This window comes from Homo sapiens, chromosome 20 (genome assembly GCF_000001405.40).
Source record: "Homo sapiens chromosome 20, GRCh38.p14 Primary Assembly".
NCBI classification, from domain to species: Eukaryota; Metazoa; Chordata; class Mammalia; order Primates; family Hominidae; genus Homo; species Homo sapiens.
The window spans coordinates 2,117,620-2,142,692 of NC_000020.11; the positions used below are offsets into that span (position 1 = coordinate 2,117,620).

At 47.1% G+C, this 25,073-nt stretch overlaps 1 protein-coding gene and 1 long non-coding RNA gene across 3 annotated transcripts in view; both read left to right on the forward strand.

The window, feature by feature from the left end:
* STK35 (serine/threonine kinase 35) overlaps positions 1-25,073 on the forward strand; it is a 46,729-nt gene that overhangs the window by 15,793 nt on the left and 5,863 nt on the right. The window lies entirely within an intron of this gene.
* Positions 68-23,979, forward strand: LOC124900458 (uncharacterized). Its single transcript, XR_007067499.1, has 2 exons — positions 68-7,937; positions 10,301-23,979. It is a non-coding gene; the product is annotated as an uncharacterized LOC124900458 (long non-coding RNA).

The following is a 25,073-nucleotide window of genomic DNA, read 5'->3' on the forward strand; positions in this document are numbered from 1 at the left end:
TTTTTAGTAGAGACGGAGTTTCACCATGTTGGCTAGGCTGGTCTCAAACTTCTGACCTCAAGCGATCTGCTGGTCTCAGCCTCCCAAAGTGCTGGGATTACAGTTGTGAGCCACCATGCCCAGCCTCTCTTTTTTTTCTGTATGCCCACTTCTTGGACCGGGTTCTTCATTCTGGACCCTGGCATGGGCCCTGTGAACTTGCAGGGGAATACAAAGTTGAAGAAAATGAAGTGCTTCTTTTCAAAGATCCCCCCCATATCTTGATGGGAGAAACGTGCAATTATCTGAGTACACGTTGGAAAGTCTAGAGAAGTCTTCTCAGAGGAGGTTGCGTTTAAGCCGAGTCTCCCTTTTTTTAGAAACGCTCTTTCTCATCATTATAAATGCTCACTGTAGAAAATGTGCATAAGAGGTAGACAGGTTTTCAGAGAATAAACACTATCTCTGATTGTATCCCACCTACTCACACATCCGGTTCCACATAGTTTAGATCTTGCCCTAGTTGGTCAAGGTCTTTTTCTTTTTACTCATTACTAATCTGAGCATTCCTCCATGTCATACTTTAGAAGTATGGCTTTTCAGGGACTGTATGACATTCCCATTATATGTACCATAATTTAACCATTCTCCTACTTTAGAAAACAGATTTTTTCCATTTTAGATACTATAAAGAATGTATTAGTGAATATTTATGTAGAAGTCTTTGCTTATTTAAAAAATTTATTCCAAGGTGGGCGGATCACGAGGTCAGGAGATCAAGACCATCCTGGCTAACACAGTGAAACCCCATCTTTACTAAAAATAACAAAAAAATCAGCCAGGCGTGGTGGCGGGCACTTGTAGTCCCAGCTACTCGGGAGGCTGAGGCAGGAGAATGGTGTGAACCCGGGAGGCGGAGCTTGCAGTGAGCTGAGATCGTGCCACTGCACTCCAGCCTGGGCAACAGAGCGAGACTCCGTCTCAAAAAAAAAAAAAATTTATTGTGAGTTTTCCTTTGTGAAGTACAGTCATGCTCCGCATGAACAACGTTTTGGTCAAAAAGGAATGGCCTATATGACGGTGGTCCCATTAGATTATAATGGAACTGAAAAATTCCTATTACCTAGTGATGTAGCTGTTGTAATGTTATAGTGCATATTATGGTGTATGTGTTACCTTTTCTGTGTTTAGATACACAAAAACTTACCATTGTGTTACAACTGCCTATAGTATTCAGTACAGTAACATGCTGTACAGAATTGTAGTCCAGGAATGATAGGCCATACATGTCATCTAGGTGTGTAGTAGGCTACACCATCTAGGTTTATGTAAGTACACTCTTGACATTACACAACAATCGCCTAATGACTCATTTCTCAGAAATCGTTAAGCAGCCCATTGTTAAGCGACCCATAACTGTATGTGCTAGGCTCTGGGGTGACATGATAAGCCAAATCAGAGACTTTCTCCATCTTCATGAATTCTGCATCTTAATTAGGGAGAGAAACTCCAAGTTGAACTTGGTTTCATGTGTAGTATTTTCAATGAAGGTATTTTTGTAATGAGTCACTAGGTCTAATTCTTCAAATCATAATTGTTTTATAGCTGTTTAAGGAGAAGAGGTATTCAGGGAAATTGACCTTTCGGGTGTTGATGCACAGAGTCAAGAGGAGGGAATTGGGGGTGAGGGAGCATCCCAGATAGACCAACCTCTGCGAAGGACCTGAAACCAGGGAGAGCCTGGCACATTTGAGAGACTAGACCAATTTGGGTTAATGAGGAAGTAGGCATGTGGAAATTAGAGAGGACAGGGAACAGTGTAGACAGAAATTGAACTGGAAAACCCAAAGGTATTTATAGGAACAGCAGAATAGTTTAGTTGGACTGAAGTTTGATGTGTGTGTAAGAGAAATAAGATGAAAAATTGACCAGCATATATGCTAGGTAGTTTCACATGAACCATTTTGTTTCACCTTTACAACCCTGCAAGGGATTAAGTAATTTACCCCAGATCCTACTAAGTTAAGGATGGGTATATCTTATTCAAGCATCCCCCACCCCCTTTTCCCTTAATATGGTGAGCTAGAAGTAAGCTGCTCTTACGTTGTGCTGAAGTCTTGATGAGGTGATGGAGCTAGTGCTGATCCTCCTGGTGGTCACAAGAAGCCTCAGGAGCCATAAGGCACGGAGCTTTCCATCACTTGGGTGGGTTCCCTCCCTTTCCCTTCATTATCCTCTGGTTTCTAGGTGGGGTTGGCTCATTCCAAGTTGAGCTTGGTTTCATGTGTAGTGTTCTCAGTGAATGTATTTCTCGAGTGAGTCACTTAGGTTTAATTCTTTCATTCTACAAACGTGTGTTCCAGGTGCTGGACCAATTGGGCCTACCACCCGTGGGTAGGAGAACAGCAGTCCCCAAAGCTAGGTTTAGGGTAGTGCTATATTAGAAACCAAAAGGGTTGGCTAGACAGTGTTTTAAATGTATTTTGTGCTGTCACTTCCCATTTCCATCTCATGCTTTCTGCTTTTGAAAGACCTCTTAAAATTCAGATTTGCTCTGGCATAGGAAGGTTGTCATTGGAAGAGGGACCTGAATTTAGGTTACGATTATGGGGTTGTCATAACTAATTGAGATCAGGGCTTCCATGTGGATATCCACACTTGAGATTTGTGCTGTTTTGCAGGGCAGTTTTGGCTAAATTGGAGTGATTCTTTCATGTAGGAGAAATAGGCGACCTTGAGAAGAGGGGAAAAGATTAGGAATATGGTTACTGGTGAGTGTCCCAGGCTGTTTTGTTAATTCATTTTGTGGCTCTTACAGCTAATCTTTACAGTACTGGTGGTGCCAATTTGACCATAGCCTATCCTCCCCTGTCTTAGGTGGGCACTTAGAATTGTGGGCCTGGGCCCAGGTCTGTGACCAGAGCCAAACCCTGTGTTGCCAGAAACTTCAAATCAGCTTCTGTAGAAGAGCTGTATCTGGCTGGTCAGAGAATCTGAGGCTTGACTTGGGAAGAACATTGAGTCTGACCTCCCTTTCCCCTGCCAAGTTTTGTAGATGGACAAGCTAATTTCATTTATTCATTCAACATGTTCTTTGGAAACTCTTTCCAAGTACCATTTTAGACACAGATAATACATCGGTGAACAAAACAGACAAGTTTTTGCAGTATGGAGCTTAACATTCGTTCTGTTGGGAAGACAGTACCCATAGGTAATGTACAAGAAAGTGCTCGGTGCTGGGTGCGGTGAGAGGGTAGGATGGGAAGAGTAGAGCAGGGTAGGGGAGATCTGAAGCTTGGGTGGTGGGGAGGGGTGGGGATGTACTTTTAAATGGAAGATATCAGAGTGGGTCTCCCAGAGACGGTGACCTTTGAGCGAATGTTAGAAGGAGTCGAGGGAGTGAGTCCCAAGGATTTCTGGGGAAAGAGCATCTCAGACAGAAGTAATGGCCACTGTGAAGGTCCTGAAAGTTGGCCAGAGTGAGCAAGGAGTGTATAGGAAGAGATAGATAACTAGGAGCCAAGTAGGCCTCGTAAGCCTCTAGAGATTTTGGCTTGTGTTTTTGGATGAGATGGAAAGCCATGGGGATGTTTTCAGCTGTGTGATATCTGCTCTTTTGAAAGGATCACTTTGCATCTTGAAATAACGGGATAAGATGGGAGGCTGTTGCAATAATCCAGGTGAGAGATGACGATGGCTTGAAACAATGTAACAGAGAAGTGATTATTGGATTTTGGGTATTTTTTTGAAGTCAGAGCCAGCAGGATTTCCGGCCGGATCATATGGGAGGTGTGAGAGAAAGGAATTAATCATCACTTCAAGGTGTCAGCCTAAGTGATGGGAAGAATAGAGCTGCCATTAAATAAGATGGGGAAGACATTGGGGGAATAGGGTTGGCAGGACAAAGTTAGGTTTTAGTTATCTGAAAGTTTGGCATGCCTATTTAGAATCCAACTACAGATGTAGAGTAGGCAGTTGGATGAGTCTGGAGTTCAAGGGAGGGGTCCAGCCTAGAGATACAAATTTAGAGATTTGCCACAGTACTGGAGTGGGTATAGACAAGAGGAGGTCAGAGGACTGAGCTCCAGGTGGTGCAACATTGAGGATGGGAAGAAAGAAAGGAGCCAGAGAGAGGGGAAAAGACATCAAGAGGAGGAGGGAGCCAGCCGTGGCATCATCTGCTAGTTGATTGAGAGGACTTGATCATTGGATTTAGTAAATGGGAAAGCATCAGTACTCATGAACAATTTTGGTGGAGTAATGGGGAAACCTGTAACTAGAGTGGATTTGAGAGGGGAAGAGGAGAGGAATTGGAGACAGTGGAAGAATAGACCAGTAGTTGTCAAAGTATTTTGTCTGAAAGCCTCTTTACATTTTTGAATTTACGGACTCCAAAGAGCTTTTGTTTTGGGTTATATCTGTGGATGTTTGTACTATTAAAAATTAAAATAGGCTGGGCGTGGTAGCTCATGCCTTGTAATCCCAGCACTTTGGGAAGCCAAGTAGGGGCAGATTGTTTGAGCTCACGAGTTTGAGACCAGCCTGGGCAACATGGTGAAACCTGGTCTCTACTAAAAATACAAAAATTAGCCAGGTGTGGTGGCACATGCCATAGGCCCAGTACTTGGGAGACTGAGGCAGGAGAATTGCTTGAACCAGGGAGGCAGAGGTTGCAGTGAGCCAGGATCACACCACTGCACTCCAGCCTGGGCGCCAGAGAGGGACTCTGTCTCAAAAAAACAAAAAAACTCTAGTTGCATAAGTAAACACACTTGACCCCTATACCACCAAGATGAAAAAACACCTCAATGTTTTAGGATTGTAGATTTCAGAGTCGCATTTAAGTCAGGACTAACTAGTTTCAGTTTTTTTGCAAAAATAAAAGGAAATGCATTTTGGGTTGGAAACCTGGGATTCCCCTGAAAGAAGTGGTGTCTAGTAACAATGCAGGGATGGAGTCTCATATCTGCGTTTTCCTGACTGTGTGGCCTTAGGCAAATTATTCCACTTATCAGGGCCGCAGTTTTATTATCTATAAAATGGAGTTGATCCTATATATCTTATTGAGGTTGTTGGGGGAATCACAAGAGGTTGTGAAAGTGCCCTATGTAAACAGTCTGAATTAATTGTAATACAGTAGCATTGTTTAGATCCATACTTTGGCCTAGGTAGAAGTATTGGCTTCCATTTCCCTCTGAAGACAGTGGTCTTTGGTAGCCTCACTTTTGTGGATTGCCAAATAGCTTTTCTTTTGAAACAAAGCTGTAGTCAAGGCCCACGCTGTCCAATCACTTGTTCCAGAAAAGTATATCTATTTTTAAAGACCATTCAGTGATGGGTCTGATCTCTTTCTTATTTGTCGCTTTTGAAAGATGTTTAATAATTCCTAATGGCTCCTACCAGCTAGCCACAGCCTTTTATCCCATGCAGGAAGCCAGCCAAACTGATGTTCCAGGTGCCTCCGCCCACGTGTTACCAGGGAGAGTGTTGTGGGATGAGGGAATCTGCATTCATGGCCAAGTCTGCTGTCTGATATACAAACCTCCGTTACTAGGGCCTTTTGAAGCCAAAGCCCTCGAATGACGTCTTTTTGGAGTGGGCAGCTAAGGCCTGCTGAAGGAAATCAGATGTTGGTGTGACCTGAGGGGTCACAGAAAGTATTTCTAGTTCTATATGAGATCTTGGTAGCTGCCTAACATCAGAGAAGGAAATCAGGCCCAATTTCTGTTGAAGTAATAGTTGATGCATTTATCCCTGGCCTGGGGTCCAAAGATGTGGCTCTCAGCTAACGTACTGGGTGACCTGCGTTGGCCCCTTGACCTGCGCTTCAGATTTTACTTCTATTTTGCAAGATCTAACCCTAGTACAACCCTAATCAAAGACAGGAATTCACAAGCCCTTTCAGCTTATCTGACAGGCAAGAGTATATTGCCTGTTGAAGCCATAGAAGCCCAATTCAATGACCAATTTTTTGCTTTGGGCTGGAATTACACGCAACTGTGTTGTTACGCACGCTATAGCTACCAAGTTAATCAGCAGTGATACTAAAAAATGGAAAAGAAATGCGTAATTAACATGGTTTGTTTGAAACAGCAAAGTATTCAAAGCAGTCTCTGTAGGGTAAATTTTAAAATCGTTTTAGGTGAGAAGTTGGGACCGCCAGTACTAAATAGGTCCACTCTATGACTTCCTGGCCCAGCTCTCAGGATGGCCAGGAACTAGCTCCTGCCTTACAGGACTGCCCTCCCTTGCCTGTACCTGGTGCCTGGCTGAGGAGTGTGGCAGCCTGAGGGGTTAGGCTGTGAAGAAGGGCAGCAGCGCCAAAGATGACCAAAACGGCAGTGATTCATGGTCGTCCCTGGGCTGAGTGCTTTATGACTGATAATTCATTTACTTACTTTCAAGTAAATTCCTGAAGGTCACAGAGCTAAGAAGAGGTAAAGCCTAGCCTTGAACCCAGGAGTCAGTCCATGGCTTTAACCAGTTTGGTTTATTGCCTCATTGAATCATCTTTAAATTTAAAATGTTTTCCTAATTGAATTCAACAAATAACTGAGCATCAAAGTAGATAGAATTTCCTGCCCACAAAGCCCAGAGCATTATGAGATGCGCAGTATGGAACACTTAGTAGGGCTTCAAGAGGAGCTAGTTCCTCTCCTACTCTGCAAAGGTCCAGAATATGGTGATAAGCAGCCAGGTAGCCCAAAGGAAAGTAGAAGCAAGGAAGGTTCTTCCTTCATGGGAAGGTGTAACTGCCAAGGGGTCGAAGTCAGTGGTTTGGTTTTGCACCCCAGAAGCTGATCCCTACTTAGTCTTTGGTGGAGCCTTGAATTTCCCAAAGGGAGGATGGGAAAAGGGAAACGCTAAGCTGTACCCCGAAGTGGGTAAGAATGGAGGTGTTATTAAGAGCAGAGAGATCATGGGGTCGAGGTGGTATCTCTTGATGATGATCAATTCTTTAATCCAGGCAGATCCAGAACCCCTGAGGTTCTTTGAGTCCCTGCCCATATAGTAGGGGTCACAGCTTTGCCACAACCCATCTCACTAGCACTAAACAGCTTCACAAGAGGTGGGGGTTATGAGTGAAGAGTCAGAGTGTTTGGTTCTCTTTTCTCGCAGGAAATTGAAGCTCAGTCTTCAACTGTGAAGACCCTAGTGGCGCTAGATACCTGTATACAAAGAGACATGTCCCTTGGGGCCTCATCTCTCTGCTGGTGTTTTCTGAGGAGTTTTCCTCCCCAGGTGGGGAAGGCTGGTATTTTATTTTTTTTGTAAGTCCCCACAAGCTCCCCAGTGACCTGCTGTTGCCATCTCTTGATTGTTTCTGCCGCATCAACAGCAGGAAGCTGAGCTGTCAGTTATGTAATGGGGCCGATGGCCCCCCAGGGATCATCTGTCCCTTGCAGCTCTGCAGGACTTGAAAGCATCCATGAGGGGACAGGCCTGGCCCGGGGCTGTTGACGTCAAGGCCCAGTTGCTGCTCACATGTTCCTCCTCCATGGCCTCCTTGGTGCCACCTAACCTAGATAGCATCCCTTTGGGCAAATCAGAGTGGCTCTTGTAATCGTCCAGCTGTGAGCAAAGCTGCCTGATGGTTCAGGGGTGCTTCCAACTCCCATTTCCTCTTACCCCAGGGACGCAGACACTCCCACCAACAGCTACTGGTTATCAAAACCTGCTCTGAGGGACCCCTTGACTTGTGCAGGGCAGAGACCCTGCCTTTTTATTCCGAGCCCTGAATTAAGCACTTTACATGTATCATTATCATACATCATCTGCTTAGCTATTCTGTTATGTGCCCTCTTTTCTGCAGATAAGGAAGCAGAAAATCACTTTCCTAAGGTTTTGAGAGCCAGGATTTGAGACGAGATGTATCTGTCTGGAAACTCTACTGCTCCGTTCTGCATTCTACAGCCTCTTAAAGCCACTTTTAATGAATTTCTATTCTGAGGCAGATGGTGGGTTCCCCTCCAGTAGTACCATACAGTAAAGCAGCCAGGGCTGCCATGGGTGTCCTTCACAGTCTGACACTGGTTTCAGCACAGGCACACTGTGGCAGGGCCACCAGCCATCCCTTCAGGCGAGGTCAGCCTGCATGTGGATTCCTCCTGTGTTACAATGACTGCCCCAAACATTGGCAGAGGAGGCAAGGCTGGGATAGTGTGAGGTGCCCATATAACCGAGGTCTGGCAGCAGAGAAGGCAGGAGCCACATATGCAGCCAGGTCAAAATTGCCAAAAGTTTGGAAAGTAGGAGATCTAAAGCACACCTCCACCCACCGGCAGCTGGGAAAGCACCCAGCACTGAGGGAATGCTGTCATTAGGCCAGCGTCTGGCACCAGCTGCAAGGAAAGGGCTCCAATAAGAGCCAAAGGCATCATACGTGTCTGTGGTCCTGGTGCCCTGGCAGAAGCCCATTCTGAGTGAACCCAGGGATTTTAAAGTTGATGAGGACCCAGCAGAATGGCAGCGGTTGCTCTGTTTCTTTCTGACAAATCTTCCAGCTCACTCACTGAATCCTGACTTAAGCAAGGGATTCCGTCACTCATGCTTACTCCAATTGATGTGGCTGCCCATAGCCCTGTGTCGAAAGATTCTGGAGCCAAGTCAGATTCTGGCATATGGTAGGCACTTGCCCAGTGGAGGCATTGATTGTTTAGACCCCAATATGGTCTCCTAGGAACTTAGTTTAATAATGCAGATGAGATATGGACACTTGGTGGTAATGGGTTATAGATGGCTCAGTAGAGATACAGGAGGACAGGAAAGAGTGGAGGAGGTGGTATTCCAGGCTGGTTCTTGAAGGTAGGTTTTAGGGGTACCTTGTAAGCCAGGTGGGATGCGCAGGAGCCACATCTCAGGGTACATACTCAGGTTTGGTTTCATTACAGTATTCTCAGCTACAGGAGGAAAGGGTACTACTGTTCAGGTAGTGAAATTCCCAACTGGAGATACACTGTGGACCCAGGACCTAGGGAGAGTGCCCAAGGCTCTGTCTTGATTAGGGCAGCCGCATTCGTGCTCCCAGCCCCTCTTTTCATTTCCACTAGTGAGTCCGCTGTGATATTACAAAATCAGAGGAAATGGAGATCTCCTCCAGCGTTTCTAGGATTCAGAGGCATGGCAGGCCTTAAAACTGCCAACCAAGTTTAAAATAAATCAATACCATAAAACACTGCAATGAATTTCCCAACTTTTAAAGAAATTTCACTTTCAGTTAGAGGTGCCAGGGGAAAGCTATAACTCAGTTTGCATCGTACACAGGTCAGAACTCTATATTTTGTTTCTTTATTAAAGAAAGTGATGTCTAGGGACATGGGAGGAATGGATTAGGGCCACCCAGGCACTCCATAGGCCATAGTGAGGAAGATGAAAATGCTTCCATTTTTCCAGGCTGCAAAAAGCATCTTGATGTGGGGCTTGGGGAAGTCGCCTTATGAATGGTCACCTTTATTTTTTTTTCCCCTGAACTCGGAGGCCTGGTAGTGTAGCTGTAACAGGAGGCAGGTTGGCTTTGTTATATCGTGTTGGGTTTTAGTATTGATTATCTATTTTAATGGGAAAATCACAAAGATGATGTGAACCAGTTGACTCATTCTGCATTTACTTCCATCTTTGTGGGGAAAGAAAACCCTTCACCATGTACAGCACCCCTTTGTTTTTTTTTTTCTACTTTTTTTGGATGTGCTTAAGACAAGCCCTCTCAGAAAGCTAGGCATGCCTAGGGCAAATCTAAGGCATGGAGTTGGGAGTATAGTGTTGTCAGATCTTGGCAGGTTGTATGGGCATTACCAGCACAGCCCGGCCTTGTACCAGACAGAAAGAGAACTAGAAGTCACAAGTAAAGACTCTGTTGTTAGTAACCAGATTGCATCTTGGATCTGATGATGTTTGGAAGGAACCCTTGGTTTGCATAGAACAGCAGAAATAAGTGATTATACCACACCCCAGACAAACAGGCTAACTTTAACTTTTAAAAATATTTTGGAGTTTAGGCCAAGTGCCTAAACTGAAATCCAGATGACACCACTGACATGGTCCAGAGGTCCTCCTCCCTTTTCTGACCTGAGCATCTTAGGGGCCAGGGTACCAACAGGTATAGCAGGAAAAGCCTTCAGAGAGCACATAGCTCCTTCCTGCTGCTCTGGAGTCCTGTAAGCAGGACAACAGCCGTCGTGATAATGCCAGACTCGCTCCTGCTCTTAGAACTGAGTTGGGATCATTGCCATAGAGAGATCCAGATGTGAGTCTTGAGCCTAATTATATGAACCTGGGTGAAGTTTTAACCATGGTTAAAAGATTGCTTTTATTTTATCTGCAGCAGGAACAGAGGATGTCATGAGTAAGAAGTGTTGGTGAAGATATCTTCAACCCCTTGTGTCCTCTCTGCTCCTCCTCACTTGATCCCACCCCCCAACACACAGTGTCAGTGAGAAACCCTAGCACCAGTGGTTCTCAGGATGTGGTTCCCAGACCAGCAGCATCACCTGGGAACTTGTTAGAAACACGTATTTCTGGCTGCACCTCAAACCTACTGAGTTGGAAACTGGGGAGTGGTATTGTATCAGCTCTCCAGGTGATGGCTGATGAACACAAAAGCTTCAGAACTGCTCTGGCAAAAGAGGGTAAATGTGCAGTCAGCCACCCTGCCATCTTTTAGACATGCAGACCATTGCCCTCACCTTTTACCCTTTTACCTTCAAAAAGCTTGGACCTAGGTGTGAGAATCGGGAGGGCCTGTAAGGTCCTGGCTTCTATAATTCCATAAGTAATTGTATAATTACCTAGCACTGTGACTTGGACAAGTCACTCCTCCAGAGAACCAAGGTACCTGAAGGACCACTGTTTTCCCTTTCCCCCGTTCCTTCTGTCCTGGCGTGTTCCTAGTTCCATGGTGGATGTGGTTCTGGGACCCTGGGACAACTGACTCCCGCTCAGGCTCTCAGTGCATTTGTCTTCAGGATAGGGTGAAGCCCTGTGGCCTCTTACTCCTGTGGGAGTAGGAGGAAACAATTTAACCTCTCCGTGGGCTTCCCTGGGGAAGTGGACTTCTGAGCCATAATAATGATGAATGTCTCAAGGTGATCTCAGGGGAGTGCTGTCAGGGCAACCACAGGATTCCTGTGAAGTCTGAATGGTAGGGAGGTCACCCCTAGAGGAAGGAGAAATTGAGAAGCAACAGGGCATAGGAAACAGGGAAGCCCCCCGAGGTACAGGTGGAACTTAGGTCTCTTAAGTGGAATCTGTGGGGGGTTTTTTTTGAGGTGGAGTCTCGCTCTGTTGCCAGGCTGGAGTGCAGTGACACAATCTCGGCTCACTGGCTTCACGCGATTCTCCTGCCTCAGCCTCCCGAGTAGCTGGGATTATAAGTGCATGCCACCACGCCCAGCTAATTTTCATATTTTTATTAGAGACAGGGTTTCACCATGTTGGCCAGGATGGTCTCAATCTCCTGACCTCGTGATCCACCCGCCTCGGCCTCCCAAAGTGCTGGGATTACAGGCTTGAGCCACTGCACCAGGCCTCTAAGTGGAATCTTAAACATGACTTTGAATTGTGACTAGCAAACTTCGTTTTTCTGTTCCACAGACATGTATTGAGCACCCGCTGTGAGCCAGGTTTGGGCCGTGGAGATGAGAATTCCCATCCTCAGTCCATGTAAACCCTGGGCATCTCTCTGAGCCTCCGAGTCTGCCTTCGTAAAGGGGGGTTGCTAACACCTGGAGGGATTGCCGTGGGGATTACATAGAACGGGAATGAAAAGCTGGCAGAGGCCTGCCAGGCACGCAGCAGGTACCACACAGGCGTTGGTTCCTGCTGCCCTTTCATGCCAGTTCTCGGGCACGCTGATGGCAGAGCGAGAATTAGCATCTCGGAATGTGTGCAGGCTCATGTGTTTCCCCCTCCCCCACCAATAAAAAGGAAAACATGCATGCCCAAGGGGACCCGTTAATTTTTTGATCAACTGTGTGTTGGGCACTGTAGTGGGTGCCTCTATTAATAACACATGGGTGAAAAAAGCAGACGTGGTCCTCACCCTTGAGGCACTGAGTTTGAGAGACGTGTCATACGAGAGTACCATAGGTACAGTTTCAGTTGTGTGTAAATGAAGAAAATAGCAGAAAATGAGGACCTGCCCAAGGCGGTCAGAGAAAGGCTCTCTGAGGAGGTGGCATTGAAGCCGAGACCTGAAGGATGAGGCCTCTGCCAAGCAGAGGAGGAGGGAGCCGGCTGGAGTGCGGTGGTCAAGGTGTGGGAGGCCAGGAGGAGGTCACTGGCTGCTCTGTGGCCAGTAAAACTGGAGAGAGGCAGTTGTGGAAGCAGGGAGCCCAGGTAGGAGGCTGTAGCTGCCCAGGTTAGGGGAGATGGTGAAGTGGGAGTGAATTCAAGGTGCATTTTGGAGGTTCAAAAGGGCTCTCAGATGGCCTGAAATCGGAAGGTAGGAAGGAGTGGCTCAGAGCTGACTCCATCATGTGTGGCTTGAGTGACTGGGTGGTGGGAACAGAGCCATGTAAGAGTGAATGTTGCAGCAGGAGACGGTTTAGGGGAGTAGGGAGATACACAAATGAGTCTTGGACGTGCGGACATGAGACCGTACTCTCTCTCCTGCGTGGGTGTTTGTGGTAAGTGGCGCCCGTTTATCTGGGTCTTCTGAGAGGACTGTTGGATCTCAGTTTTGCTGCGAACAAAGAGCACCTTCACAGGCACAGAATGGTCCCTTGGACTCGGGGCTGCGTTCATGGCTGAGTCTTGCTGCGTTTTGTTCTTTTCTTGGTAATCAGCTTCTCATTAGGTTATGATGTGTTGCTCTTCTGTCCTTATTTGCATCTGCTCTCTGCTATAATTGTGTTTCAAGAACATGGCGTTTTGTTGTTTTTGTACTGTTTTGCTTTTTAGAGCTGAAAACCTGTGCGGGGTCTTGTCACATGGGCAGCCTGGTGATCCTGTCACGGGGCAGCTCTCCAGTGTGGGCATCTCGCTCTCTCTTTATTTATTTATTTTTACTAGTTATATAACATCAGAGTCATGATTGCTGGCTGTAAAATTGATTTTGAGAACTACTTTAATTTGTAAATTGGGAAATACTTTCTATTTTGGGTTAGGGAAAGGCATACAGGGGAGGGAGATGGGGGAAGAAGGTCTGTAGTCCCTGGTTTCAGTAATCTTCAGGTTTCTAAGTGCAAGCACCCGGAGCTGAGGGGCGGCCCTCCAACCTTATCTGGACGGTCAGCCAGTGGGGAAGGGGCTTTGGAGTCACTCCTTTGGCCATCCCGTCACACCGTGGTTTGAATGACAATAGAGGGCGTGGGTAGAGGTTGTGTCATCTGCCTGCTCACCAGACCCCCTTCCCTGGAACCCCCTGGGGACCTAGGTCTTTATACAAATTCAGCAAGTGGTTACTGAGAATTAGCAGCTTGCCGATCATCTTGCATTCACTATATACTCATGCGTCACTTAATGACGGGGATATATTCTGAGAAATCCACTGTGAAGCGATTTTGTCTTTGTGCACACATCATGGAGTGTTCTTACACAGTCCTGGATGGTATAGCCTCCTATACACCTAGGTTATATGGTAGATAGAGCCTATTGCTCCTAGACTGCAAACCTGTACAGCATGTTGTGGTACTGAATACTACTATAGGCAGTTGTAACACAATGGTGTTTGTGTGTCTAAACATGTAAACATAGAAAAGGTACAGTGAAAATACGGCATAAAAGGTAAAAAAAATGGCTGGGCTTGCTGGCTTATGCCTATATTCCCAACACTTTGGGAGGCCAAGACAGGAAGATCACTTGAGCCCAGGAGTTTGAGACCAGCCTGGGCCACAGAGGGAGACCCCCATCTCTACAAAATTATATTAAAGTTTTGTTTTTTTTTTTAAGATTAAAAATGGTATACCTATATAGGGCACTTACTATGAATAGAGCTTGCAGGACTAGAAGTTGCTCTGGGTGAGTCAGTGAGTGAGTAATGAGTCAGTGTGAAGGCCTAGGACATTACTGTACACTATTGTAGAATTTCTTTCTTTAAAAATAAATTAACCTTAGCTTACTGTAACTTTTTTGCTTTCTAAACTTAAAATTTTTAAAAAATTTCTTGATTCATTAACATTTAGCGTAAAACACAAACATAAGACAGGGTCGCGCTCTGTCACCCAGGCTGGAGTGCAGTGGCACGATCTTGGATTACTTGGCAGCCTCGACCTTCTGGGCTCAAGCTGTCCTCCTGCCTCAGCCTCCCAAAGCGCTGGGCTTACAAGCCTGAGCCACCGTGCCTGGCCCTTCTTTCTTCATATCCTTATTCTGTATACTTTTTTCTATTTTAAAAAAGTAATTTTTTTACTTTTTAAATTTTTTTTGCTTAAAAACAAAAACCCACACATTAGCCTAGGCCTATGCAGGCTCAGCGTCAGTACTCCCCACTCTTTTTTAAATGTTGTGAAATCCTCACCTGCATCCTAAGTATTGTTGTCCCCCCAACTCCCACTCCAGAGAAAGGAAGTGATTTACCACTGGCCACATGGCTAGCTCATGCCAGCTCAAAGGCCAGAGCTCCAGTGCTCATGATCTCCATCGAGCTACCAAAGAGAGTTCATCTGAGCAAATCCATATGCACCGCACTGTCTCAGGGCCACCAGGAGCTCAGAAAAGGGAGCTGGCTTTTGCCAAAGAAGTAAGTGATGGCAAAGTAGAGGACACATGACTTAAGATGGACCTTGAAGAAAGAAGAACAGATTAGGATATTTGAAGCAGGGGCCATAGCACGTCCAAAGACAGAACACTGGAATTTGTGAAGAGTGCCTATCCCTGGGTGGGTTCACACAGAGGCTAGAGTAGAAAGCTAAATAGGGCTAAGTTGCCAAGAGCCTTGAATGCCAGCCTGAGGAGAATGAACTTCATCCTGCCAAAAAAGACAAGGGTGAGTGGGTGGTGGTGAGCAAGGCTGTATTTTAGGCAGGTGAGTCAGTAACAATGAGGGGAGAACTGTCAGTCCCCCAGGAGGGGAAGATGAATTGCCACACTGGCAGTACCTGTCTCCAAAAAGTGTGAGACTGCACAGGCACCTTCCAGAGCATGGGAAGGCGGTAAGGGTAACATCTGAATAGGAAGATGAGAAACCTTTGCTTCTATATTGGTGTCAAGACATCAACAGACTTGCTGTTGAACCTGTTGGACTGGTCAATCTAGGTTTAAACGGCAGCTCTCCTACTTACTAGCTGGGCGGCTTTGGGCAAGTGATCTACCTTCTCTGGGCCCCCATTTCCTTGTCTGGTCAGTGCAGTAAGTGTTGCTCACTGTAGGCTGTGTCCGGCGCAGTTCCTAGCTCCTGATGACAGTTGAGTCAGTGGTGGCTCTGTGTATTGCCCCCATCCTGCTATTTTGTTTGTTTTTGCCAAATCCTTATAGGCTAATCACACGTTTTCACTTTGCTTCTCACTAACAATTTGTGATAGCATTCTTTCTCCCAAAGAGATCTCCAAACCCCTTAGCAATTGCCTCCAGTGAGTTCCCCTTGGCTTAGTGGGCTTTAACTGGTTGTTGTAACCAAAAGTCCATGTGGACCTCTCTGTGGGTGTGACCTTCTTGGCATCTTTCTTATAACCACAAATTGTTCTGTCCCCATATGGAAGAGTGACCGTTCCCCTTTAGCTAGTAATGGCACCTTAGCATCTTCCTCCTGGCAAGGGCCCCTGAGGACCTCAGCCTTTCCCTTGGGCTCTTTCTTTGCTAATCACAGCAGCCACAACTGAACCTGTCTCTGGGGACCAATTGAGGCAGTTGGCAGCTTTTATTTTCTGCCCCACACTTAATAAGTTGAGGAGGGGAATTAGGGTATCCACACAGCTAACTGCCAATTACCTGGGCTGTTTCTAGAGACAAATAGTTCCCCTTAGTTGGTGTTGGGTTTCACCCAGTGTCTGTGTACTAATTAAAGTGCTTAGAGGAACTACCATCCCAGTGCCCTATTGCCTCTTGACCTCCCAAGGCCAGAAAGACGAGGTTTAAGTGAGTCTGGGTTCTCAGACGCAGACAAGATGACTCAGTGTGCAGCCCTGCCTGCTGGTCACCACGGAGACCTCCAAATCTCAGAATCTGCAGTCTTGCCTACTGTTTCTCTGTGTGCATTTGGCAAACTTTTTAATACTAGCACTTTTGGCAGTATACTCCAAGCAATCAAATTGTTTAAAACAATATTAAGCAAGTCTTCATGTCTAGGAGCTTTCACAGTAACTGCTTGCTCCACTGCCCTGACTTTCTGGCACACTTGAGATACAGCTGACATCTCTTTGCAGCAGCATGCTGTCTCGGCTTTAAGCTTTGTTCAGACCCTTTCCCTCAGTAAGTCATACCCTGCTGACTTACTGGGCCTTACATGGGCCTGCCACTTGTTGCTGCAAGAGTGTTTGTGCCTCTTCCTTGTATAAGTGGGGCGTGGATTGAGCTTCAGGGACGCAGCATAGAGCCTGTCTCCTCCTGATAACATTCGTCCACTTGAAAGGGGAGTCTCAGGCTGGGCGTGGTGGTGCACACCTGTAATCCTAGCTATTGGGGAGGCTGAAGCAGGAGAATCGCTTGAACCCGGGAGGCAGAGGTTGTAGTGAGCTGAGATGGTGCCACTGCACTCCAGCCTGGGCAACAGAGCGAGACTCCGTCTCCAAAAAAAAAAAAAAAAAGATGGGGCGGGTCTCGGGTTCTGCTAGAAACTTTCAAGGAGGAGGAGGACCTCACTGTTGCCCTGTTAGAAAGGGCTCTGGTGCATTGAGCTGAAGTCTGCCTCCCTCCAAACACTCTTTGGCCTGATTTCCCTCAGCCCCAGCCACACAAGTTGTACGTCTCACCTGTGCTGGGGGTGCCCTGTTTAGAGCACTCATGTGCCACTGTCCAGTTAGTTTTTGCCTTAATAAATAAGGGGCCTATAGAGGGCCTCTTCTCAGTATTCTTTGTGCCATGTTCCTTTCTCAGAACCTGAATGGTGTGTTATTCTACCATTTAAAAAATGCCTGGGGCCTGGCGCGGTGGCTCAGGCCTGTAATCCCAGCACTTTGGGAGGCCGAGGCTGGCAAATCACCTGAGGTAAGGAGTTCAAGACCAGCCTTGCCAACATGGTGAAACCCCATCTCTACTAAAAATACAAAAATTAGCCGGGCGTCATGGCACACGCCTGTAATCCCAGCTACTCGGGAGGCTGAGGCAGGAGAATCGCTTGAACCCGGGAGGTGGAGGTTGCAGTGAGCCGAGATTGTGTCATTGCACTCCAGCCTGGGCAACAGAGTGAGACTCTGTGTCAAAAAAGAAAAGAAAAAAAAATGCCTGGGATATGCATTAAACTTCCCAGCCCTAAGGGGCTTTGCAGAACCTGTGCATCCTTGGGGTTAGAAGGAGTCCAGGTTAAGAACCCCTGTGCTGGCCCCAGGTCCTTCATTTGGCAGGGGAAGAAATGAAGTCTCCAGAGGGGGAGTAGGGAGAGAGCTAGAGGGGCCTGGAACCAGGTTTCCCACATTTACTCTTAGCAACAGGCAAGATCCTTCATCTTCCCGTGTTTCACTTCAGTTCCTCTTAGTAGGTTGCCTCCTGGGAGCACATTCCTATGATTGCATCTGTGCTTTTATAGCCTGGGCGACAGTCTGTCTGCCTTTCAGAGAATCCGTGGGACTGGCTTCCTCTGGATACACTTAAGTGGGTGAACAGAATGTGGAAGATGGTGGCAGGGGGTGGCTAGGTAAAGGGTGGACCCCTGCTGAGCAGGGGCTGGTGGTGCTCAGTTCCTTGTAGGGCTGCCCCAGCCGCCTCTTTCAACAATCCATGTGTTTTGAATGTGGCATATGGGAGTCCTCCAGCAGTCCAACATATCTGGCAGGACTTCAGCCAGGATTCCACTTCCTGGACCACTTGTTAGCTAAAGAGACTTATAGGATATATTTGCCATTTTACAAATGGTTGGGTCTAGAAAGAGGCTTTGTGCATTTTAAGATCTTGGGCAGGGCGTTGTGGCTCACACCTGTAATCCCAGCACTTTGGGAGGCCAAGGCAGGAGGATCACTTGACCCCAGGAGTTCAAGACCAGCTTGGCCAACATGGCGAAACCCTGTCTCTACTAAAAATACAAAAATTAGCCGGGCGTGGTGGTGCGCGCCTGTCTTCCCAGCTACTCAGGAGAATCACTTGAACCCAGGAGGTGGAGGTTGCAGTGAGCCGAGATTGCACTGCTGCGCTCCAGCTTGGGCGACAGCAAGACTAATAAGACTAATTAGCTGGGCACAGTGGCATGCACCTGTGGTCCCTACTCAGGAAACTGAGGCGGAAGGATCACTTAAGCCAGGGAAGTCAAGGCTGCAGTGAGCCAGGATCATGCCTTTGCACTCCAGCCTGACAGAGCAAGGCCCTATCTCAGAAAAAAAAGCCATCTTGGGAAGTCCATACTTTCAGACTAAACCATAGTGCTCCAGTCATAAGTCTACTCTTTTCATTAACCTCTTACCATACCTAACTTAGACTCAGGGGACACATTCTGAGGCCGGGCCTGCTCCAAATAGCCACACTTGGATTTCAAGGAACCCCTCCACGTGAAACAGATGTATTTGCCAAAGTTGGCCGTCTTCTTCCCCTTGAAAGAAGGCCTCCTGTTGAGAAGTCAGTAAGGGGAATAGTAGCAGAGAGAGCTGAAATCGAGACAGGAGCCCCCTGGTTGTGTAACTGATAGGCTATGTAATGTCAGGAAAATCTGTAATCCCTGCATGCCTCATTTCTCTCACCCAGCTCTGAAGGTGTGAGAGAGGGGAGCAGCACCCTGTAGCATGGTAGAAAAATAGCATGGGCTTCCGACTTGGACACGGTCCCAGCTCTGTCCCTTACCAGCTGCTGGAGTTTGGAGAAGTGGCCCAGCTCTCTGAGCATCACTGTCCACACCTGGCTTGCCGGGATTTTCAGTGGGAACGTGTGCAGAGCACTTGGCAGTGATGCAGGAACTCAACCAAAGGCAGAGATTTTTTTATAATCATGTGTTTATGTTAAAACCCTATCATGTGGAATGAATGATTCTGTGAAGTTTTATTGCTATGTACTAATTCCCAGTTTCTAGCTATCACCTGGTATTTGAGCTCTTCCTAAAAACCCAGCACTGCTGCTTGGTCACCTGAGAGGCTTAAGAAAAGCAGCAGACTCTCTCTGTCCTGCAGGAAGCTCAGGGTCTAAGATGGTAAGGTTGGAGCACACGACAAGGCTAGTGGGATCTGAGGTCGTCCATGCCTTTTCACTGGGCAGGGGGACAGAAGAGTTCCCATAGAGACTGGGCCCTCTGGGAGTGTTTCCTGGGGAAGGCGTGTGGATGGGAACCCAAAGGGTGAATGCGATCTGAGTGACAGATAGGGGGTGGGAGTTGGGGTAGCCAGATCAGCAGGAGCTGAAGACCCAAAGCAGGAGGGAGGCTGTCACCTCAAGAGAAGATCAACTTGAGGCCAAGGCATCTTTTCTGGAATTTTTGCCCTGGCAAGTGACTGCAGTGAGGTTTTATGGGTTTGGTTTTGTGTTTTTTTGGATGTGATTTGCAGCCACTGTTGTAGCTTATTAAAGTACCTCCTGTGCACCTCACTCCACCTGCTATGTGTACTATCACTGGTCTTTGTACCCGGCAAAGTAGACATTTCCTCATTTTAGGCTGAGCAAACTGAGGCTCGGGGGACCCTGACTTGGTGAAGGTCAGCTGGGATGTAAATTTTGGATCTTCCTACTCCAAAGCCCATGCCTTGAGAGAACACCACCTCCAAGCCACGCTCCTCTGCATTTGGGGCCTGCCCCTGGATATCTGCCTGTGGGTGAGCTGCCTTGGTTTGGTCTCCTGGTCAGGGCTCAGATGTCGTAAGGCGTGGACCTGTGGTCTTCTGGGTTGTCATGGAGCACTGCGAAGCTCCTGTTGTATATGTTGTATAATCTCTGCCCTCTTGCTCCTCTTTTTCCTAACATTTTGCCCGTTCTGTATACCCGAAGACTGAAAACAGTGTTATCCCATTTGTCAGTACTCCCATTCCTTCGACCCTGACAACAGGCACGTTCACAGCACAGTCATCCCTGTTTTTGCCCTACTTTAAGCACCACAGTTGGGAGTGCAGCCTTAGAGGAATGATGCATCAGGAAGCGTGACTCCCTGGCCTTGGTGCCTCTGAGTGATTGGAGGAGACATTCGTGCTGGGGCCACCGAACCCCCAGGGCTGGCATGTTGATGTCTGAATGTGAAAAGCCAGATGCTTTGGTGTATTAAACAAGTGAAGAATGACTAACCCCACTTAGAGGAAGGAGAGGACTGCCGTCTGTGACCCTGACAGATGACTTTGCCTCTGTGCACTTGTGAGGCCTGCTTGCTCCACAGCACGATATGCTGAAAATTAATAACCTGAGCCTCAGTTTGCTCATCTGTAAAATGAGGATAATTCTTACATGGTCCTTTGGACAAATGAGGTGTTGCATATTCAGTTTGCACGGCAGCTAGCATGTCATAGGTATCATTAGCTACAGTGATAATGCCACTACACAGGACTGCGGGTGAATTTAGGTAGGAGTGAATTCTTGGCTAGCCACCCAATAATACCCCACTTTGAGTTTATACTGTACCTTAGTCTATGAGTATGCCAATGGGATGACTTTCTTTTCTATTAACTAAATCTGAGAGTCAGGATAGAAAGAGAAAATTGGGCTTTGGGTTTGAAGTCCCAGTCTGTGATACCCTAAGAACCAAAATGACCATTAACATGAATGACAGCAAGATCGATCTTACTGAATGCCCCACCCTGGGTCAGGTGCCATGACAGGCAATTTACTTGAAGAATTCTTCACTCTTCACAGCAGGCCCCTGAAGAGGAAAGAGTTCCATGCCCATTTTCTAGTTTAGGAGAAGGAGATCATGGAAGTAGCTAGTAAATGGCAGAGCTTGCATTTGAACCAGGACTGTCTGCCATAGAGCCTGTGTTCTTCCCTGAGGGAGCACTGGAGTGACGATAAACCTCGTGGTTACCAGACTTCCACATTTCCTAAGATGGTGCAATTTTAAAAACTGGGGAGGCAGGTCCAGGAGGGAAGCAATTTTTAAAACCATTCCTACTTACTTTCATCATCATTTCATCAAAGAAATGATGTTTTAGGCCAGGCATGGTAGCTCATGCCTGTAATAATCCCAGCACTTTGGGAGACCAAGGCAGGAGGATTGCATGAGCGAAGCCAGGAGTTTGAGACCAGCCTGGGCCACATAATGAGACCCCGTCCCTACAAAAATAAAAATTAAATCTAGCCAGGTGTAGTGGCATGTACCTATAATCCCAGCTGCTCAGGAGGCTGAGGCAGGAGGGTTGTTGAGCCCAGGAATTTAATGCTGCAGTGAGCTATGGTTGTGCCACTGTACTCCAGCTTGGGTGACAGAGTGAGACCCTGTGTCTTAGAAAAGAAAGCAAAAGGTAATGACATTTTGACACTAATAAAGTAGGAAGGCCATCCTTTTAGAGTAAGGGATAATCACCAAGGTATTCTGTGCCTGCAGGCTGAGGAGTAGGGGAAGGAGGTGAACACGTGAGCCATCCTTGTCTCCAGCCCCATCCTGCTGTGCATGTTCCCCTCATATCTCCCAGGCTTCTGTTCTCCAAGCTGCTAATGGCCTTCATGAAAGTAGTTCAGTTTCTCAGTCTTCTTAAACAGACCAGACACCTGCCTGACTGGCAGAGAAGCTTGCTGGAAGACCGTTCACTGCCTGGTTGGCACCATGTCCCCTTTTGTCCCCCGAGCACTAGACCTGTGCACAGGCACGTAAGCCTTCCATGAGCCTTTTTTCTGAGTGAGTCTATTTATAAATGAAGGGATTAGATGGGTTTTAAACTCCACTTAAGACTCTTCTTGTCTTCTCTAGGAAGGGATTTTGCATCGTTACATGTCAAAAGCAGGGGATTTGGAGTGAGACTGCCCTGAGTTAAACCCTTTTCTCTACCACTTACTGTCTATGAGGCTGTTCTCTCTGAGCTTCAGTTTTCTCATCTCTAAGACGAGGGGGACGATAACCCCTACCTCTTAGGGTTGCTGGGGTGAAATGAGGCAATGGATGTAAAACACTCGATCCTTTAACAGTGATTGGAAAGCAGTGTTGCTTTACGAGGTTGTTGCCTATAACACAGTTAGAACTTGCACAGACAGACTGCTCAATAAGTGATTGCTGTTACGCCAGTTACAGAGAAATAAGAAGGTGGGGTGCACTGAGAGAACTTGGTCCAAGAGCTGAAATGAGAAAGGTAAGGATTCATAGCACATTTTCCCAGATCACTGACACCTTCCACCCCCAAGGTCATCTCAGGTGCAAGCTACTGGAACCATTGCTGAGCCGGCTTTGGAAGCACTGATTGAAGACTATCATAGTGCAGAGACTTTGGGTAGTAAAGCTGGAAAACTTTGGATTAAGTGCTGGTTCTACTGCTCAGCAACTCTGGTGTGGGGCAAGTTGCTCCATTTCTCTGGGCCTGTTTTCTTGTGAAAACTGGCCAAATCCCTCCTCACAGTAATCATGGAAGGGCACTACAGATGTCAGTTGCAGGTTTATCACATCACCACTTTTCATTATGCTTAGCAGGTGTGATTTTTGCCCTCAAGGAGCGGGCTCTGGTCAGAGGTAGGGGTTCCACAGAGAGGAATGAGAAGAGCCCCGGTAGAAGCTGGTAGCCAGGCAGTCAGGCACAGCCTGAGCAGTCAGGGAGCTGAGATGTGGCATCTGCTAGGATGAAGCACCACAAGCCTAAGGCCTCCCCAAGGGCCCACTGGGGCTGAGACCTACACCCTTTATTGTGCCCACAAGTACCTGGGAGGGTCTGTGCTTAAACTCAGAACCATGTGGTCTGAGCCATTCCTGTTCATAGCTACAGAAAGCGCCTCCACTACCTTCGGTGAGCTTACTGTGCTGTTAGCTCCCTGGGAAAAATGCTCTTTCTGTGATGGCAGATGGGAAAAGAACCCCAAGCCAAGATCCTCTCCCCAGTAGAGAGCCCTCTTATTTTCCTTCTTTGTGCCCACAAGAGAGAACCAGACTCAGACCTGTAGGCTGTTCTGAGGCTTCCAACAGGAGGGCCAGAGCCAGTGCCAGAGCTAGAGGGAGCAGGGAGGAGCCTTTGGGAAATGTCAGCTTCACTTCCTGGCATGGGACCCAGTGATTACAGCGGTCATTACAAGCTGGTGTCTCAGGAGTTCTTGCAGAGTGCTGTGCTGTTGGTCTGACCTTCTGTAGTCACACTGTGTTCTGCTAGTTTATTATGTAAAAAGGAACCTCTGGTTTCTGAACCTGCCTCCTTGCCAACACTGCTTTTCAGCTGCCACATGCTACCTTCCTGCTGATGGGCATCCTTTTCAGGAGATTGTCCGCAGGGAGGGAGGAAAGGAATGCTGGAAAGTCATAACTGGTCCCAAAGATTATTTTAGCACATCACATGTGGCTGTATAATTTCTCATCGTATTTCACAAGGTCTTAATGTCTCAGATGGTGAGGGCCTACCCTAAATACCCTCTTCCCCCATCTTCAGGTTGATCTGCTGTGTCTACGGAAAGCACGGAGAGAAAGCAATAGGCATGCTAAATAGAGCTAGAGTTTGAGATGGCTGCTGAATCATCAGGGAATATGTTTATGATGATTTTCTTTTTCCAAGTCAAAAACTGGGATACAAGACCCACAAGTGGATTTTTTTGAGGGGAATTAACAGACCAAGGAACAGAAGCAGCAGAGTGAAAGACTGGGCCCGAGAAATCCTGTATTTTCTTTCCAGATCAGCCACACCCACTTTCTTGGTCACCCGCTCCCTGGGCAGTAGAGCAGGGAGTCACATAGTCTAACCTCCCGTTTGGCAGTGTGGAAGCTCTCCTTTGTCCACTGGGCATGGAAGAGTCCAGACAAGACCCCACATCTGGACCTTTCTATTGGAGCTGCCAGCTTTTCTTGTTCATTAAAGTACCCTATTTTTCCTATTAAAAACTAAAATATAACATTGGTGTGTGTTCATTATTAAAAATCAGAAGTGAGGGAAGAGGAAAATCCAGTCACAACAAGCACAACATGTTGGTGTATTTATTGTCAGATTTTCCTACACTGAGGGGTTTGTGTTTTTACATAGTTATGGTCATGCTGTGCGCTACACAACTTTGTAACCTACCCTTTTCCACCTACCCCAGGGAAGTGCTTTTGTCATAATCTTCAAAATGTCATGCAATGATCTCATTTCCTCTGTAGTATATCAGTGCGTTGAAGGATCATTTGCTTACTTAATCCTTATTTTTGGACTTGTGAGTTGTTATATTTCAGTGAACTTCTTTATCCATAAAGTTCTTTTCATATTTAGGTTTATCTGTTAAGCTTGGCTTTCAGGAGTAGAATTTCAGGGAGCTACCAATCTAAACACCTTTGAAGCCCTAAAAACAGTGCCAGACTACCTTCCAGAAGCCTTATCCCCTCCTCCAGCAGTGTGCGGGGCACCCTCACCAGCCAGAAACACTTTCAGTGGTTGCGTGGCTGAGAACCATGGCCTGTTCAGATTTAACACGTTTATAGTCTCTGGTTGGGGACAGTTGGCCAGGAAGGGGTAGAGTCATTGAGTATGTTTGTCCCTGCTGTGGGCCAGGAACCTGAGTCATTCCACCCAGACCTCAACCAAGAGTCCCCAGTGCTCAGAGGGAGAAACTGAGGCCAACAGACAGTAAATTATCCAATATTGTCCTATCCTGCTGCCTCTTGGGAGGACTGGCCAGGTCCCTTCCCAGGAGCTGAGGACAACGAGCTGGTGTTGTCAGCCCGCACAGGTGGCAAGTCATGGCAGCCACGGTGCTGGCTCTGCCTGACAAAGAAAGGCACGCACAGTGAAAGACTTGTCTGCTTTGGTCATTCGGGCACTTTAAAAACTCCTAGATGGGCCAAGGTAGGTGGATCACTTGAGCCCAGGAGTTCAAGACCAGCCTGGACAACATGACAAAACGTCGTCTCTACTAAAAATATAAAAATTAGCCTGGCGTGGTGGCATGTGCCCTGTAGTCACAGCTACTCAGGAGGCTGAGGTGGGAGGATCACTAGAGCACAGGAGTTCAAG